This window comes from Homo sapiens, chromosome 2 (genome assembly GCF_000001405.40).
Source record: "Homo sapiens chromosome 2, GRCh38.p14 Primary Assembly".
Taxonomy (NCBI): Eukaryota; Metazoa; Chordata; class Mammalia; order Primates; family Hominidae; genus Homo; species Homo sapiens.
In genome coordinates, this window is record NC_000002.12 from 58,948,786 (window position 1) to 58,965,818 (window position 17,033).

The window sequence follows — 17,033 nt, forward strand, 5'->3', positions numbered from 1 at the left end:
ATGTCTGTACTTTCCCAGATATAGGACTGGATGGCATTGGGGTGTTCTCTCAGAACTTTGAGGTTTGCCAAATCTAGGAAAGAATTTTGATTTTTTACGTGCTTACTTGATTTCCTAGAATGACTCCTGGATAGAAATAAAATTGAAAGTAATTTTGTTTTTAGGCAATCCCATAGCATCACATTGCTTCTGATCTCTTCACTCCAGATAATGGAATGATGAGCTGACACAAGGCCACATGAAGCCAGGGTGAGGTAAGGCTACAAGGAGGGGCAAAGAATGAGAGATAGCAAATTTCACCAGAAAGAAATTAGGGAACAGTAAAGAGAATAAGAAAAGTAAGGAGGCAGGAAAATCTGAGTCATGGTTCTTTTACCTATAAAAGAAGTAAATTCACATGCATTTAAGGGGTGTGTGTGTGTGTGTGTGTGTGTGAAGTAAATAGTTGTATATGTCTGTGTTTCAATTGTTTTATCAAACCTGGAATGTTGCACCAATGAAGTAGATCCAAAGCCTTAATTGGACTCATATTTACCTGGGATTGCATGGGTGGGCTTTTATATTCTTTGGTGAAAAAAACCATTCCTTGAATGATAGCAAAAGAAGGGGAAACTCCCTTCATTGAATGTGCTCTCTGATCTTCCATACAAGCTTTTATGTGATTGGTAGCATCTCTTGAATTGGGATCAGGCCCTAGCAGCTGTTGGGAGAACTTGTCCCTGACCATCTTTGTTGGCAGCAACAGGACGCTGCCCTGAGGGGGCATTGTTAACCTTCTCAGTGGTTTTCATCTTACACTCCCTCAACCTTTAGATGGATTCTTTCAGAAGTGCATTTTTTAAAGTAGCATTTGTTTATACCTGGTTTGCTAACAGGATGAGTTAAAGTCTTTGATATTCCAGTATACTGCAAAAAAACTCAGGTGATTAACAAAAAAGAGAATCATTACATATTTACAAGAATACTGATGCTTTTGTTCGAATAGTACCTTTCATTTGAAATAATTTTTGTTCTAATTTTCTCCTGTTTTCATCTATATGCCCTTTTTGCATTAATGGCACACTTCTGAATACCAGAATATTTGGAGTCACCCTTGAAGGAATTAAATTTGCATCCACAACCATCATACAACTCATGTGGTTGCCTTTGTCACTGTGTGGCTGTGTGAGTAGGGCTACGTGTTGTCCTGGGCTCGTTTCATTACGCTCTCAGGAGACAAAGTTCTTCCATGTTTTAGAAGACACTCCATTTTTATTTTGCATAGGCTTAGTGCTGCATATAATAACAATAACAATAATAATCTGTTTATTTTTTTATCCATCTTGGAGAAAGTTGTACTTCTCTTCTTATTCTGAGACTAGCTTAAAATTGTCTGTTGGACAGGTATCACTATAATTCAGTTGTAACAATCAAAGCTGCATAATGATTATAAAAAAATTGGTGGCTCACCACCAATTCAGGGTACCTAGCTATATTGTACTACCACAACAGAATAATATCATTCTAATATTAATTTGTTAATCATTTCTGATGGATAACCTTGACCCAACTTCTCTGAAAATACTCTATATTTTCAGCCAGATATACCCTTATGTGTTTCTTGATGTTGTGTTTTTATTTTCCTCCAATATCGGGGTTCTGGGGAAAAATGCTTATTTAAATCTAAATTATAATTCAAAATTGATAAAAAAAAATACATTGTATCTCTATACGTATATGTTGCGTTTATAAATAAATGATACCCAAAGATTTGCAAATAAATCTCAGTGCCATCCTCTATATCCTTTTTGGATATGACACATGAACCATTTTAATAGGTAACTATCATGTAATAAGAAAAACAGATCCACTTTATTAGTGCTGTCTTGTTATTTTGCTTTTCAGTATAGGATCAGAAGTGATTTATGAATAAACTTTGAAATATAGTCCAATACATTATGTCAGCTTTGTTCTTTTGAGTTTTGGCAATTGCATCCTCCATAATAAACAATATCAACAATCATATGCCGCATCACTATTGCCCAGAAAAACCCACAAAAACCAAGTGAGCTATTACTTCTCAGCTCTGTCCTTCGCTTGAAAGATGTTTTATCAATGTTTCCTTGAATACTCGAATGCCTTGCAGGTCATTTACTAATTTTATCATTATCTGCTTATTTGCATGCAGTAGGAAGACTGGACATTGCATACCCAGGCATGGTGCCCAGCACAAACTGTCAGGGCTGGAGTCTCTACCACGCTGTTGGCAATATGCTGTGGAGAGGCAGCCACAGAGTCAGGCTCCCACAGTAATGAGGAACATAAAAAATGATTTTTTTTAATTCTGAAAATCTTTTTGAGAGCATGCAAAGTGAAAAAGGGCAAAGTCTTTAAGAGAGAGGAAAAAATAAAGGGCTGTGAGAATTCTGTGATGGAAGAAGTTGGCACCTGGGCCAAACCCAGCATCTCTGGACTGACAAGGACTTTAGGGTACCATCAGCAGGCGGGTGTGAGTCACATGCTGGCATTTTCTCTTTCCTCACTCCTGCCTACTCACACCATGACTCTAAATCAAAACTCAAACTTAAAAAACAAAAAGATCTCACTGTGTGTTGGATACATAATAATGTGTTTCTATCTAAACTTCTTTCTGTCCTCTAGATTGACAATTCACACCATACAAAGCACACTGTGGATTGGCACTCCATCTAAGGAGCTCTGTAAATGACTATCCCTTATGGCCAGATCATGGAAAATGCAGGCAAGGTCCTATGTGTTAGTCCTTGCCCCAGGTATCATGCCTATGCCAGCCTGCGTACTGACTTCAACGTTGCATTGTCCAATGCTCAGTCAGAAGGCTGAGCTTGTCTCATTACTCTCCACATCTACAATGAGTTATGTAAATCCTGCCTACCTAGTATTATCTTGTGGTTCTTTTTATACCCCCAAAACATGTTGTTATGAACTTCACTATGATGTCTCCGTTCTACTCTCTCTTCCCATGGCACAGAGATTCCTCTAAACCCAGCAGCAAAACCCAACCCCAGAAGCTGACAAAAGCTGCATAGTAGGCTCTCTTACTCATGTCTATCAGCCTCTGAATGCTGATGTGTTCTTGAAATGAGGGAGCTTTAAAAACCCTTGTTGACATCAGTCTAAGATCTCTCTGTCTGAGGTACTATCAGGGAATTCGCAGGGCATTCATCAAAATCAAGCTGATGCAAGCATGAATACTCACAAGAAAGAGCCCTTTTATGCCGAAAACTGCTGAAGGCTGGAAAAGGGGCTAATTTATTTAAATTATCCCTCTAAGTGTCAAGCCCCACAATTTCTGGAAGGAGCTGACAACTGTGGGTTAAAGAAAGTTTTCTTAAATTTATAAATAAATTAGTGACGGTAGAAAGTTAACCTGGGAAATCAGAGTAATAGAAAAGTAATCGCCATCGATGTTGATGCAGATGTAGGAAAATACAGTTTTCTGCTATTAAGCTTTTAAATGTCAGCAAATGGCAGTTTAGTAGATCATTTGCTAATAATGATTAAATTTCTCATTAAAATGCTTCCTTCATTATTCTTCAGGTAAAAATGTGTAATTCAATGATTGTTACATCAATTACACTTAAAAAGCTCATTAAAACACTGAAATATTATCTCTCGTAGTCAGAGTACTTTGAGAGTACTGTACTAATTATAAAAGAAATAAACTCTTATAATAGCACCATTTGAACTGATGCCTTATAAATTCTTAATGTAAAGCTAACATGTAAAGTTTAAATCAAATATATAGATCCAATAAAACGAAACCTTTTTAATCTTGTTTTACCTTCAAAAGGACTCTGATTATTGTAATTAAATAATGCATGATATAATAAAGATCTGGAGTATGTGATTATTTCATTGGCAATTGAATATTGGTGCTTTTTATTTATGCAAGCAATGTATCACAGGCAATATGCATCAAGCATTAAAATAGTGATACAATTACACCTAGCCTGCTGAACCAATAAAAAAAATCTGTGACATGACTCTGCTGATGATACTAGGACAGTTTGAAATCCTTTTTAAATTTTAATACTCTGATGTGCTGGGTTATGCTAATTTTGCTAAGAAATAATGCCTCCAAGATTCACTGTTGTGCTTTCTATTCCTGTGCGTGAACAAATCCAGCTTTGCTCAGCATAGCTAACAAGTAGAGTTTGCTTCTGTACACATTTGGCCATTGTTTCATTTTTTCTTTTTCTTTTTTGTTTTTTGTTTTGTTTTGTTTTTGAGAAAGACAAGAGAATAGTGAAGTTTGGGATTAATTTGTTTGTTTTTAGGGGTATTCATCCATATTATAATGATCTTTCTCTAATTTTCTCATTTACTAAGTTTCACAGTTTTTTTTTTTTAAACATTCAAATGCTTTTTATCCTTAAGTCCTTTCTCAGCAGAGTAAAGGGTCAGGAAAGGTTTTCCTTTTAGCTGCTTTATTATTAAAGCCCTGGCAAGTGACTACACAAAGTTCTGAGCCCATCCCAGAAGTCCCCCAGGGACGGAATAGGTGATGGGATTTTTCTGTCATCTGCACACCTGAGGTTCAGTCTTACATAGCTGACCCATTTTCTCACCTGTAAAAATGGACCAAAAATGCCTTTGTTGTTCTGTGTACAAGACGTAATTTAATACATAATTGTTGACTAAAAAACCCAGCAACAGAAACAGACTCTGCTCACTTGGCTGTGAAATGTTTGCATAATTCGAGGGACCTTCCTCTTTGCTTCTGAAATATTTTAGACCCCTCCCCTGCCTAGAGTGAAAGATTTTTCTGTTATCTCACCTAAGAGTGCTGTTAACATAGAAAAATGCACAGATTCCTAGTATGATAGCTGTGCCAGGAACCAAAAAATGACCTCGTTCAACTTTCATATTTTACGGTGGTGTCATTCTAGGCGCAGAGATGTAAAGGGGATGCGTATATACACCCATGTCTTCTTCTGACCAGTCCCACATAGGAGTGTGATCTGATGGGATCTGCATCCTTGTCAGACCTTCTCCTCAGTGATGGTTATCTGGGCGATCTGATAAACACCCTGGTCCCTAAGAAGAAGCTGCCTGATATCTGCTTTTCCAAAGAGGTGCCAAGTATGATATGGAGCTCTGAAAGAAGTGAGAATTGTTGAGCCTGTAAACAGGGTATATACATCATAGCAATTTAATTGCATTTTAAGACCCCAGAGCTGTACTCTAGAGCCAATAACTGTGTAAGCCCCATCTTCACCTGTCCTTCCAGGGACTATAGTTCCCCTTTTAGCAATGTCAGGTATATTTCCTCCCTCTTTTCCTATGTGAATAAGTAGCAATGGCTGGCGATGATACAGCACAGTTGATCATCCTGAATGTCTATAGGATGTCATATTTATGCTCTTCTGTTTAGCTTAAATCTTACTCAGGTTCTAATAGCAAACAGTTCAGTTACAATGGGCTGGCATTGCAAAGCATCTGCTCAATTCAGATAAATAAGACCAATGTGTTTGAAGGGCAAAGTTTCAATACAAGTGGTCTGCCATTTCATTTGGAGATGCAATTCTTATTCAGCATAAATAACAGAGGGGAAAGGGATCATTTGCTAATTGATTAATTATCTTGTAAATGAATTACAAACCTGTGGAGTGTTAGCTAGGTGTTTGCAAAAGACCTCAGCTGCTTTCTTTTCTCCTTTGAGTCTGTAAGTACTGTACAAGTGACGATGAAGCTCTATACTCACAAAGCTGATATGTGTCATACCAGGCTGAAGGCCGCATGCCATGATGCACTTGTTTTTCAGGGTTTGAAACCACTCGTTGTCTGATGAAGGTATGCATGTGTGCATGTTTATGTGCATATGTGTATAAAATGAAAAGAATTAAATTTCCAGTTAAAGCAATACATGAAGTTAACAGTTCAGTTGGGGATGGGAGACCTTTTTTTTTTTTTTTTTTTTTTTTTTTGCCTTTATTTTTACATTCTATAAATGAGCAGAGTTGTGCCAAATAACAATCTTTTGTGGACTAAAAATGCCAAGGATTAAAGATCAGAGAGAGGAGTGTTCCCAAAGTGCAAACGCTGGTGTGTTTGCAGCACCTTGATAACCACAGAAGAGCCGATAATTAACATTCCTGCTTCCTAGGCAAAGGGCAATTGGCCTTCCAAAGGTGTCCCTATTTTACTGTTTCTCTCCCTATATGAAAGTAGCTGATTTAGTCAGGAAGGTGACAGTTAAGGCTCTTTGCTGGCAGAATTTTTGCATCTTTCCAGTGCCTCGTTTCCCCTGACTTTACCACGGAGGCTGTCCATCACGGTTGTTATGTATGCAGGCTGAGTGAGCCCGCAGGGGATCCTAGTTATTTACACTCTTTTTCAAGCTTCGAAGCTGTTATAATCATTCGCTGTCAACTTTGTGCTGACACTGAATTTTACTTTGTGTTTTTTATGCTCGGTTTGGGTCTAAATACTGGCACCCATACCCGACACTGTAATTCCGTGGGTGACTGAGCTGACCAGCCATGTCCTGTATTACTAACAGAGCCCTGGAATCCTGCTACATATGGAAATTTCAGGATTTGTTGATTGTGGACAATAAACAGAGTCCTCCGGCTTTGTGCTTTTATCCAGGTGGTGGCCCTAAAGAATCAGCAGTGCACCCTGTTTCATCTCATTACATTTTCATCTTTAAGAACACATAAGTATCAGTTTCATTTGCCCCTGAGTTGTAAAGTTGGAACAGGCAAACTTTCCCTCCGTAAAACCCAGTGTGATTTTCAGACGTTACTTCTTCTCTCCAGATCCCTGTTACAAGGAGAAGGTCTGTGATCTCCCCTTGTGGTTTTCCCCTCCCCCTTCCTTTCTATCCTCTGTGAGTCCAAATACATGCCAGATATGCATTCATGATCCAGATTAAAATAGAAGTGTTGTCCTGGGCAGTATGCATGATGAGGGACAGATTATAAAGACCCTGGGTAAGGCCACCAGAGGGGTGGGAGCGATATGCTTTTAGACTTCATCAATAGACATTTGCATGCTCAGACTTAAATGCCCTGTGTCCCAGTCATGCGAGGAATAAACACCTTCCTTTCACTTGTGAACAACATTCTACCCATTAAGTCCAGGGCCTTAAACCTTTAATGACAGGGCAGCAAATTATTTCTCCATGTTTAAAAGGTACTGTTGCTATGCACCATCCCTGTCTTCAATATGAAAATTTCATGTACATCGGGCCCAAAGGGAGTGATCCACAAAATGATATGACCCTATTCTTAACTGGACTTGAAATAAAGCTGGTCAAAGGAACTTGTGTGCTTGGCCAATGTAATAAAGTAGACAAATAATTACGGAGCAAATCAAACACACTTACACCTCAGATGATTTTGAAATATTATCTATAATCGGGCACTTCTGTGCTAGGAGGAAAGGTTAATAAAGTAATTTAAAAAAGATTGTGTGGAGTATTATAGAATCAGAAGAGGACTGGCAATCATAATTGTTAATCTCCTGAAACACCAGTTCTGTATTGCACAAAGCGGATATTTTAGTGCATATTCTTATTGTGTATTCCACTTATTGCTATATTAGCTTGCTTAATTATCCTTTTTAAAAATCTTACGTTTTTGGCACAAAAAAAGTTGATATAATTATTCTAGCAGACCTGAAATGTGTATGTCAATCTTAAGATGTGTAGGAAAGATTGATATCTTTGAAAATTAATTGTCTTTATGTATGTCACATAGAAGATAAACATTGGAGTAGGCAATAGGTATACTCTTTCTTTCCTGCTTTTGTTTGTGTTGGATAGATAGGGGAATGGCACAAATTTTGCAGTTGGAATAAGGAGAAGTAATTCTGAGCTTGCTGGTGGTAGTTTAACACTCTTCAGATAAAGCTAAGATGTACAGTTGGGGCTTTTTCATAGAAAAATCTGTTTACATAAAACATCATCTGTTTTGATCAAAAACTTACTGATACAAAAGTAAGTTTCAGTCATTCTTTCTTCTACTGAAGAATTCTATAGAAGGAAAAAGGGGGACCAGCAAGCATCAGAAGACACAAGCCCCACCTCCACCACTAACTAATTGTACCCCGGAGCAGATTGTTTATCCTCATCCGTAAAATAGAAATAACAATAGAGCTTCCTAGGACCTTGGAAGGATAAATGAGAGAAGTACAGAAACTTCAAAAGCAGCATCCTTGGCTTCACTAAATTTTCCCGTCATATTCATGTCATAATACTTTATGACTTATAAGTGTTTTAAAATATTTAATGTTTAGTTATGCAACTATTTTTCACTTTATGTGAAGCCCATCCTGGCTACAAATAGATTTTTAATGTGTTTCTGTACAAATAATTTGCACTTTAAATCATGCCCCTTGCTTGACCCTGCTGCCTCTTCTGGGGAACATTTACTCTTCTCTTTTCACTTCCCAACATCTCAAAGAGTGATATATCACTCCTGTACTCTCACATTCACTTTATCCCTAACCTTCTTGCACTCAGCTCTGTGCCTGCCGTGCTGCTGAAGCTGACCTTGCCTTAGTCCCAGTGGCCAGTGATCACTTTTCCAGGCCATGCCTTTGACCTGTCTGCAGCACTGCCATACTGGAGCCTTAGGGCAACCCTTAGCCTCTGAGACATGAGGTGCTCCTGCTAAGCTGCCACTTCTGCTTCACATTTCTCCCTCCTCCTTCTTCCTGCCTGGAGAGGATGTGCCATGGGTTCAACCTGAGCCGTTGGCTCCTGTCTCTTCACACTCCTTCACAGGCTCTGTCTATTCCTGAAGCTTCAAAGAGAGCCTCACTGCTGCTTACTCTGCCCAGATCCCCCTTTCAAGCCTCAAACTCCAATCGCTCATAAGAACATAAACAAACACATTTCTGGCTGCAGCTGTGCAGAACTCTGCAACTAGCAGGAGTTATGTAGCAGTGAGAGTGACCAGATTTGAAGAAGCCTTATTTTAGATTGAGGTGAATTAGCGTCTTAATTCTTACAAATTGAAGCAATTGTGAAGTTGTTCACTTTTTATGGTTTTGGTGTAGAAGCAAGCAGATTTCATAAAATGCTGGAGCCTGGTGTGCTAGAATCACCTACTAAACATTGTTTCGTATAAGACTGAGGGTTCGGAAGGAGTATTCCATGCATGTGCATCAGTTGCCAGCATGGTTTTAGGACTTTGGGGATATGGCGCACACCCTGGGAGCACGGAGGACTTTCGAACGACTGAACTGGAGTGTCCATTAGTTGCTTTGTGGATTGACATCTTCATTATTTTCCAGCAGCAAATACAACTCTTAGAATTCTTGGCAGTAACATTGGCAAGACTCCAAAAGCCAGACCTTTTGAGGAATTTGACCCAGGACAACATCGTCTGTGCTTTCAATTAAGTAAAATTAAAAAGTGGAAAAAAAAAAAGGAAAAAATCAGAACGTACTGTTACTCTCAGGTGCTATCACACCCCACAAAATTTGTAGTAAGCTTCTATCTGTCTCCTGAAAAGTGAGAACCTGGTCCAGTGGAGGTCATGAGAGAAGTTCAGGTCAGGTCCACAAATGTCTGATATGTGCCTTTGAAAGCCTGGCTTTTCTCTGAACGTGTCAGCTGACATTTGCTGTCTCCTACCTTCTTCTGGGATCAATACCAAATCCCTATGGAGAACTGGATGACTTTGTCAAACACACACACACACACACACAAACCTTCATGGACACAGGGTGGGATCATGGGGTGGCAGGTGGCAGGATAGGAAAACTTTAGTATGTGAAGAAAAATCGAGGGAAAAGGAAGATCTCTCTTCTCAATTTTGAAACTCAACTACCATTACCTCACATGCCCCGCTGCTGTAGTTTGTGCTTCTGGATCTAATGATGCTATTCTGTCTGGTTGCAACTTTAGGACATGAAACCTTCTATAGAATTTGCCAGATTATTAAATAGTTGGTGAAAACAGAAAGCTAACACATTATTTTTTAGTAATGTTTTTCTTTGATCATATTTCCAAATAAAAGCTCTTTTATTGGATCATATTTCCAAATAAAAGATCATATTTCCAAATAAAAATACAGTGCAGTTCTATCTGCATGAATGAATTCTAGAGTATAGGCAGGTAACACATGATTTCAAATATGTAAATATTAGTCATACGGAAGGCCTGACAAAAATTTATTGGTGAAGTGGAATTTACTGATATCAGCTGTGGTTTGTTGATTCCTCTTTATCTCTCCCTCTTTCTTCTCTCTCTCTCTGTTCCTTCTTCTTTGCTTATTTTCTCCTTTTCTTGCTTTTCTCTTTCTTTCCTTTTTTCTGTCATTTCTTCCTTTTTAGAATATTATATGGATTGCTTTTGTTTATTATTATTGACATAAAATGATTTGTTTCATTTCCTTGCATATAATACTGATGTTGGCTATTGCATTATTCAATATTTCTTACCTTTACATTTCTACCCAAAGTTAGAGTGTTCCTGCAACCTCTGTGCATGTAGATACATTCAGTAAAAAACAAAAAGCAAACAAAAAACCAGTGTAATAATCGTACGTCTTTATATAGGTAAGGTCAGAGCACAGCATCATGTGACTTTTTTTTAAACATGGTAACAGAATTTTATACTATGAATACCTTGGATACAATACACAGAACAGGTTAGAAAAGTAATATAGTCATAGTAATTACTTTCATCTGAAGAAATGTTTCAGTCAGCAGTGTCTAGCAATAAAATAAAATGATCACCTTTAGCATATGTATTACAAAAACAATTGTCTAAAATAAGAATGGTTTAAAATACCTGGTAGAATATAAAACATTGAGACAAGAGACCACCTCTCTTCTCTCTCTCTCTTGCACCCTCTCTCTCTGTCTCTTTCACACACACACACACACACACACACACCACACACACTCTTCTCACACTTCACAGACTATGTTAACAGAAATTTACTTGAAATGTAGGGCTGTTTTTAAGGGAAAAAAAACCCCAATTAAGGATTTAGAATAAATACACTATTATAACCACTGTCTTTTTAAAAATGAGTTTTCTTTTAGCTTTTAAGGTTTATAGAAATCACTTATCTGCTCCTTAAAAGATTTTTATTCTTTTTTCCCTTCTCTTTTTTATAAGTATAGCGAATGTGAAACATCATTAATCCAGTCGTAATATCATCTGATAGTAGTTAATCCCTTCTTAGACACAGCTTTTCTCGGGCCTTTGGAATATAGAAATGTGCTTTTACTCTTAGGCATTTTATTTAAGCATCAACCTATTCTTAATTGTCTTCCGTAAAAGACCACCAAGCAAAGTGCATGATGTATTCAAAGTTCTTTCCTTGAGAGTCTGATGACATTCGGCAGCCTGTTATTTTGTCTGCTAAGGTCATGGATCAAGGGCAGCTTTGTGCCTGTGGTTTGGACTTGGCTATCGGCCCTGACAGGATGATGCAGCCCGCGCTGAGATCCCAATCGGTCAGAAAAAGTCTATTAAGTTTGAGCCCTTAAGCTGTCTCAGCCAAATCAGGGATACCAAAGTTACATTTGTTTTTGTGATGACCATTCATTTTGGTCAAATGAAGAAATTGCTCGTGTGGATTTTGTGGCTTCAGGGGCAAAATCTGTGAATGTCACGTATCTTTTAGCCTCTCTGCTTTTTCACAGACATTATTGAGAAGACGCTTATGAAAAAAATCATTTTTATTGCAGCTGTTTATAAGTCACCTTGATCATAAAAGAAAAGAGGCCAAAGAGAGGTAATTGGAAGCTCTTTCTCACAAAGTTGAGAAGGCCTGTGATCTGATGTATTGGGGACAAAGTGTATGTTGTGAGTGGTGTCTGACTTAGTCAATGGACAGGGTGGGGTCAGGACTTCACCTTGGAAACTCTTCATGCTTTTTCAAAACCAATGGTCTGGCCAGATCAGTAAAGATCTGAATCTGCCCTCTTAGATCCTAGATTCCTAGATTATAGCTGTATTACTTAATTTTTTTCATGGATAAAATAAAAAGTCTTTGGTTTTATAACAATGCTATTTGTGGATTTATAGCAGCCTGATCTATAGCAGTCACAAAGGCAGAATTAATTGTTCTGTCCATTTTCTCTTTTAAAATTGTTGAATTTTTAGTTAGCCAGTGAAAGGGTTTCCTTGTGATACAAATGTTGTTAATCTGGACTTAACTTTCTAGTAAGAAAAATACGTTAAATTTTAAAAGTGCATCCAGTATGTGCGTTGTATCATCTTACCAGGACCTTAGAACTTTAGTGTTTTTGTCAAAGGAGGCCTTAGTCATTACATTTTACAGATGAAAAACCTGAGGCCTGAGCAACTGTCTTGTCCTGGCAACTGATAGCAGAAAGATTATTAGAATCTAGTTTGACTCTCGTGAAAATGTTATTTTCACCACCAACTTCCACCAAAAGTTTTGTCACTTTTTGTGAGAACACAATTTTTCTTAATGTTCATTCTATCAATAATAAGAGGGTACATAGAATAATAGTTACTGTTTGGATCTAAAGTTAGGCTGACAACAAGGGCACACGATGGGGAAAGGATAGACTTTAATAAACGGTGTTAGAAAAACTGAATATCCACATGCAGTAGAATGAAATTAGACCCTTGTATAACACCATATACAAAAATCAACTCAAAGTAGATGACAGACTTAAGTATAAGACCTGAAACTTAAAAACCTCTAGAAGAAAACGTGGGAAGAAAGTTTTTGACATTGGTCTGGACAATGAGTTTTTGGATATGACCCCAAAAACAAGAAAGCAAAAGTAGATAAGTGGGATTGAATCAAACTGAAAATTTTCAGCACAGCAAAAGTAAAAAATAATCAACAGAGTGAAGATACAAGGAGAGAAGCTATTTGTAAACCATACGTCTGATAAGGGGCCAATGTCTCAAATATGTTTGTATGTATGCATGTATTTAGAGACATGGTCTTGCTCTGTTACCCAGGCTGGAGTGCAGTGGTGCCATAATATCTCACTGCAATCTTGAACTCCTGGGCTCAAATGATACTCCCATCTCAGCCTTCCGAGTAGCTGGGGGCTACAGGTGCATGCCACCACACTTGGCTAATTTATTTTTATTTTTTTGTGGAGATTGGGCCTCCCTGTGTTGCCCAGGCTGTTCTCAAACTCCTGGCCTCAAGCAGTTCTCCTGTCTTGGCCTCCCACAGTGCTGGGAATACAGGCATGAGCCACCATGCCAGGCCTCAATATCCAAAATATTTAAAAAACTCAACCCGGTGGCAAGAAAACAAATACACTAATTTAAAAATGGGCCAAGGACCTGAACAGACATTTCTCAAAAGAAGACATACAAATACAAATGGCCTACAGATATATAAAAAAATGTTCAGGCCAGGCGCGGTGGCTCATGCCTGCAATCCCAGCACTTTGGGAGTCCGAGGTGGGTGGATCATGAGGTCAAGGAATCGAGACCATCCTGGCCAACATGGTGAAACCCCATCTCTACTAAAAATACAAAAATTAGCTGGTCATGGTGGTGCGTGCCTGTGGTTTCAGCTACTCAGGAGGCTGAGGCAGGAGAATCACTTGAACCCAGGAGGCAGAGGTTGCAGTTAGCCGAGATCATGCCACTGCACTCCAGCCTGGGCAACAGAGCGAGACTCCGTCTCAAAATAAAAAATGTCCAACATCACTCATCATCAGGAAAATGCAACTCTATACCACAGTGAGATATCTCATACCTGTTAGAATGGTGACGATCAAAAAGATAAAAGATAACAAGTGTTGGTGGGGAAATGGAGTAAAGGAAACAGTTTCACACTGTTGGTAGGAAGGTAAATTGATACAGACCTTACAAGAAACACAACTCTATGTATGATCGAGCAATCTCACTTCTGGGTTTATATCCAAAGGAAATGAAATCAGCATCTCTAAGAGATATCTGGACTCCCATGTTCACTGCAGCATTACTCAAAATAGCCAAGGTATGGAAACCTAAGTATCCATGGACAGATGAACAGATAAAGAAAATGTGTTTTGTGTATGTATGTGTGTGTGCATGGGTATATGTTCTCACCACACACAAACAAAAGTAACTATACAAGGTGATGAATATATTAATTAGCCTGTTTGTGGTAATCATTTTACAATGTACACGTATATCAAAACATCATATTGTGTGTCTTAAGTGTATACCATTTTTATTTGTCAATTATACCTCAGTAAAGCTGGAAAAAATTAAAGTCGACTGATGTGAATTGGAGTACAGCTTGAACACCTGTAGAAGCTCAACTTCTCTGAGCCTCAGTTTTCTTTTTTCTTTTTTTTTTTTTTTTTGAGTTGGAGTTTCACTCTTGTTGCCCAGGCTGGAGTGCAATGGTGTGATCTCGGCTCACCGCAACCTCCACCTCCCAGGTTCAAGCTATTCTCCTGCCTCAGCCTTCCCAAGTAGCTGGGATTATAGGCATGCACCACCAAGCTCAGCTAATTTTGTATTTTTAGTAGAGATGGGGTTTCTCTGTGTGGGTCAGGCTGGTCTCGAACTCCCAACCTCAGGTGAACCGCCCACCTCAGCCTGCCAAAGTGCTAGGATTATAGGCGTGAGCCACTGCGCCCGGCCTGAGCCTCAGTTTTCTAACGTGTAAAATGGTCAAGATAATTGTTCATATCTCAGAAGTCTGTTTTAAAAATTAAATGCAAGAATGCATATGAAGTACTTCACACCAGACACAGCATCTTACAATTGCTCTATATGGGATGTCTACGACTGTGTAGCTTTCTGCCAACCTCTGCAACCTCAGCGGGGAAAAAACAAGTCTAAAGTTCTCCTAAGGAAAAGAAAGCAATGAGTATGATATGGAAAATAATACATTTTGTAAGATTGCATTGTGAGAACTGAAAAAGTGTAAAAATTATGGTATTTCAAATTGGCATACTATTATGTTACAGTACAGCTAGCAGACAGATGTAAAAATAAAGTACAGATGTATCTTTTTTTAGTCAAACCTGATATATGGAAATCTAGATTTAGAGAAAGATTGGTTATAGGGTCATTATTTGCTTTACAAAGCAATTTGGCATAAGGTTCCTTTAAAAGGGAACTTCCCTAGTATCTTTAATGTAATATTTCATTTACTGAAAAAAAGATCACACAACTTTACAGAAATTCATTTCATCCATAAAATGAAACACATCTGTTGAATGTATAGAGGAAAAATTAAAGTAGAGAGAAAGAGAACATTGAAAGTTAGAAATAAGTCAGGTAATAATACATATGAAAAATTAAGTAGCAAGGGAACTTGAAGAACTAGAACTTCACATTTTGTTATTAATAATTTTTAATAATACATATTCTTCATAAAATGTCTACACTGTGTGTGCGTATGAGAGAGAGAGAGAATGTGTGTCTGCTGTTACCTCTCCATTTGGCTTTAAGTTTTGCTCTGACCTGACTCCTTCCAAGCCCTCTAGACATTGGCACATGTGCCAAACCCAGCCATATGCACTGCCATCCTCTCAAGCCTCTTCAGTTTTGCACAGGTCAGTCTTTCTGCCTGAAGTTTCTCAATGCTCTGACAACCTCAGTAGTTAGCACCTATGTTTTTGGCAAGCTAGGCTTCTTCACTTTATCTGGTAATGTTCCTGGGATGGCATTCCATCTCCAGATAATCAGGGAACCCCACCCACTGCTAGACACTGGCCTACCCTCATCTTTACTCAGTTACTTTTGTAGAGGGGTATGATAGCACATAGACTTGGGAACACAACAGACTTGACTTTGAATTCTTGCTCCCTATCATACTTCTGGTTTGATCTGGGCCTTAACTGTTCTCTCGGAGCCCTGGTCTTCTTCACCAATACCCCTGGGATAATTAAAGTTATCTCATACTGTTTCTGAGAGGATTTGATGAAATATGTAGAGCCCTTAGCATAATGCTTAGGAAAAAAAACGTCGTGGCACAAACAAATGCTTATGTCTTTTTTTTATCATTATTACATTGTATTGTATCTGTTGACTTGCTCTGTTATTTACTTTGTTTTCCCCCATTAAACTATGAGTTACTTAAAGGAAAATATTGGATCTAATGCAGCTCACATTGCCAGGGCCCATCTGATTCATACAGAGTGGGCACCAGATACTTATTTGTGGAGTCTAACTGAGAAAAACACTAGAGCATATACTCTCTTGGAATATGCAAGTCCCAGAGTAAAGCTATGTACAAAAAGAGAAAGAATAAAGAAAAGAACAAGGGGGTAAAATAAAGTTGAAAGGGCACAAAACACTAGGGAACTCTCCCGATTGCCCCCAATTAATTAACAGGTGTTCTCTGGGAACATTTATTTAACCACGTTTGAGTCACCCTAATTACATAAGCCTTTTTTTTTTGGTCCACCAATATGTTATGCAATAATGTATTAAATATCTTGATGAAACAGAGCCATTCTCCCAACTATCTGGCTAGTCATTCTATAAAACAGAAAGGGAGCAAAAGGAAAAAAAAGAAAGAAATGAAGTAAGGGAGTGAGGTTAGGAGAGGTGGGAAGGAGAGAGAAATTGGTGTAATCCTGAGTAGGCCTTTGCTCACTTAAGGTGATTGCCACTTCTTTCTCTAAGCACAAACAACCCATGCTTGTGATAATCCATCCAGAATTTTGCTAGGGATATGTTCTGGATAGTTGTTTGATTTTGAAAATCGAAAGCTTTTCTTTCTATAGCCCACACTAATCCCTGATCAACCATAATTAGACTGTGATTCTAAAAAATTATTGGGAGGGTTTCCACAATCCCATCTGGACCGTTTTTTCAGTTCTTTCAGTAACCTGAGATATAATTTGTCTGGCCTGGAGCCTTGAACTCATCTGAAGCAGCTAGGTCATACTTTAGTATGTCTTGACTTATCTTGGGCCTCAGTTCACTCTTAACTCTGCTTGCTCTGCCCTCTCGGGTTTGAAGATCATTCTTCCTGATAGAGACCATAGAATCAAAATAGGAGTTGAATAGTTCTGTTTTCTCTGTGACATCTGTTAACATTTTGCTGTGTGCCCCAATCAATGTACCTATCCCTTTGTTGTTCTTCACAAACAGA

General features: G+C 38.3%; 1 long non-coding RNA gene across 1 annotated transcript in view, besides 2 other annotated features; it reads left to right on the top strand.

Annotated features, from left to right (window-relative positions):
• Positions 1–17,033, top strand: part of LINC01122 (long intergenic non-protein coding RNA 1122) — a 543,014-nt gene that overhangs the window by 428,033 nt on the left and 97,948 nt on the right. The gene's annotated exons all lie outside the window — the stretch shown is intronic.
• Positions 3,072–4,322: an enhancer, noted in NCBI's record as "VISTA enhancer hs1181". NCBI's record gives its function as "enhancer in: heart[3/8]" and the evidence as "EXISTENCE:transgenic organism evidence [ECO:0001131][PMID:17130149]".
• Positions 5,989–6,490: an enhancer, noted in NCBI's record as "NANOG hESC enhancer chr2:59181909-59182410 (GRCh37/hg19 assembly coordinates)". NCBI's record gives its function as "activates a minimal SCP1, AML or CMV promoter by ChIP-STARR-seq in naive H9 embryonic stem cells {active_cell/tissue: H9 hESC(naive)}" and the evidence as "EXISTENCE:reporter gene assay evidence [ECO:0000049][PMID:30033119]".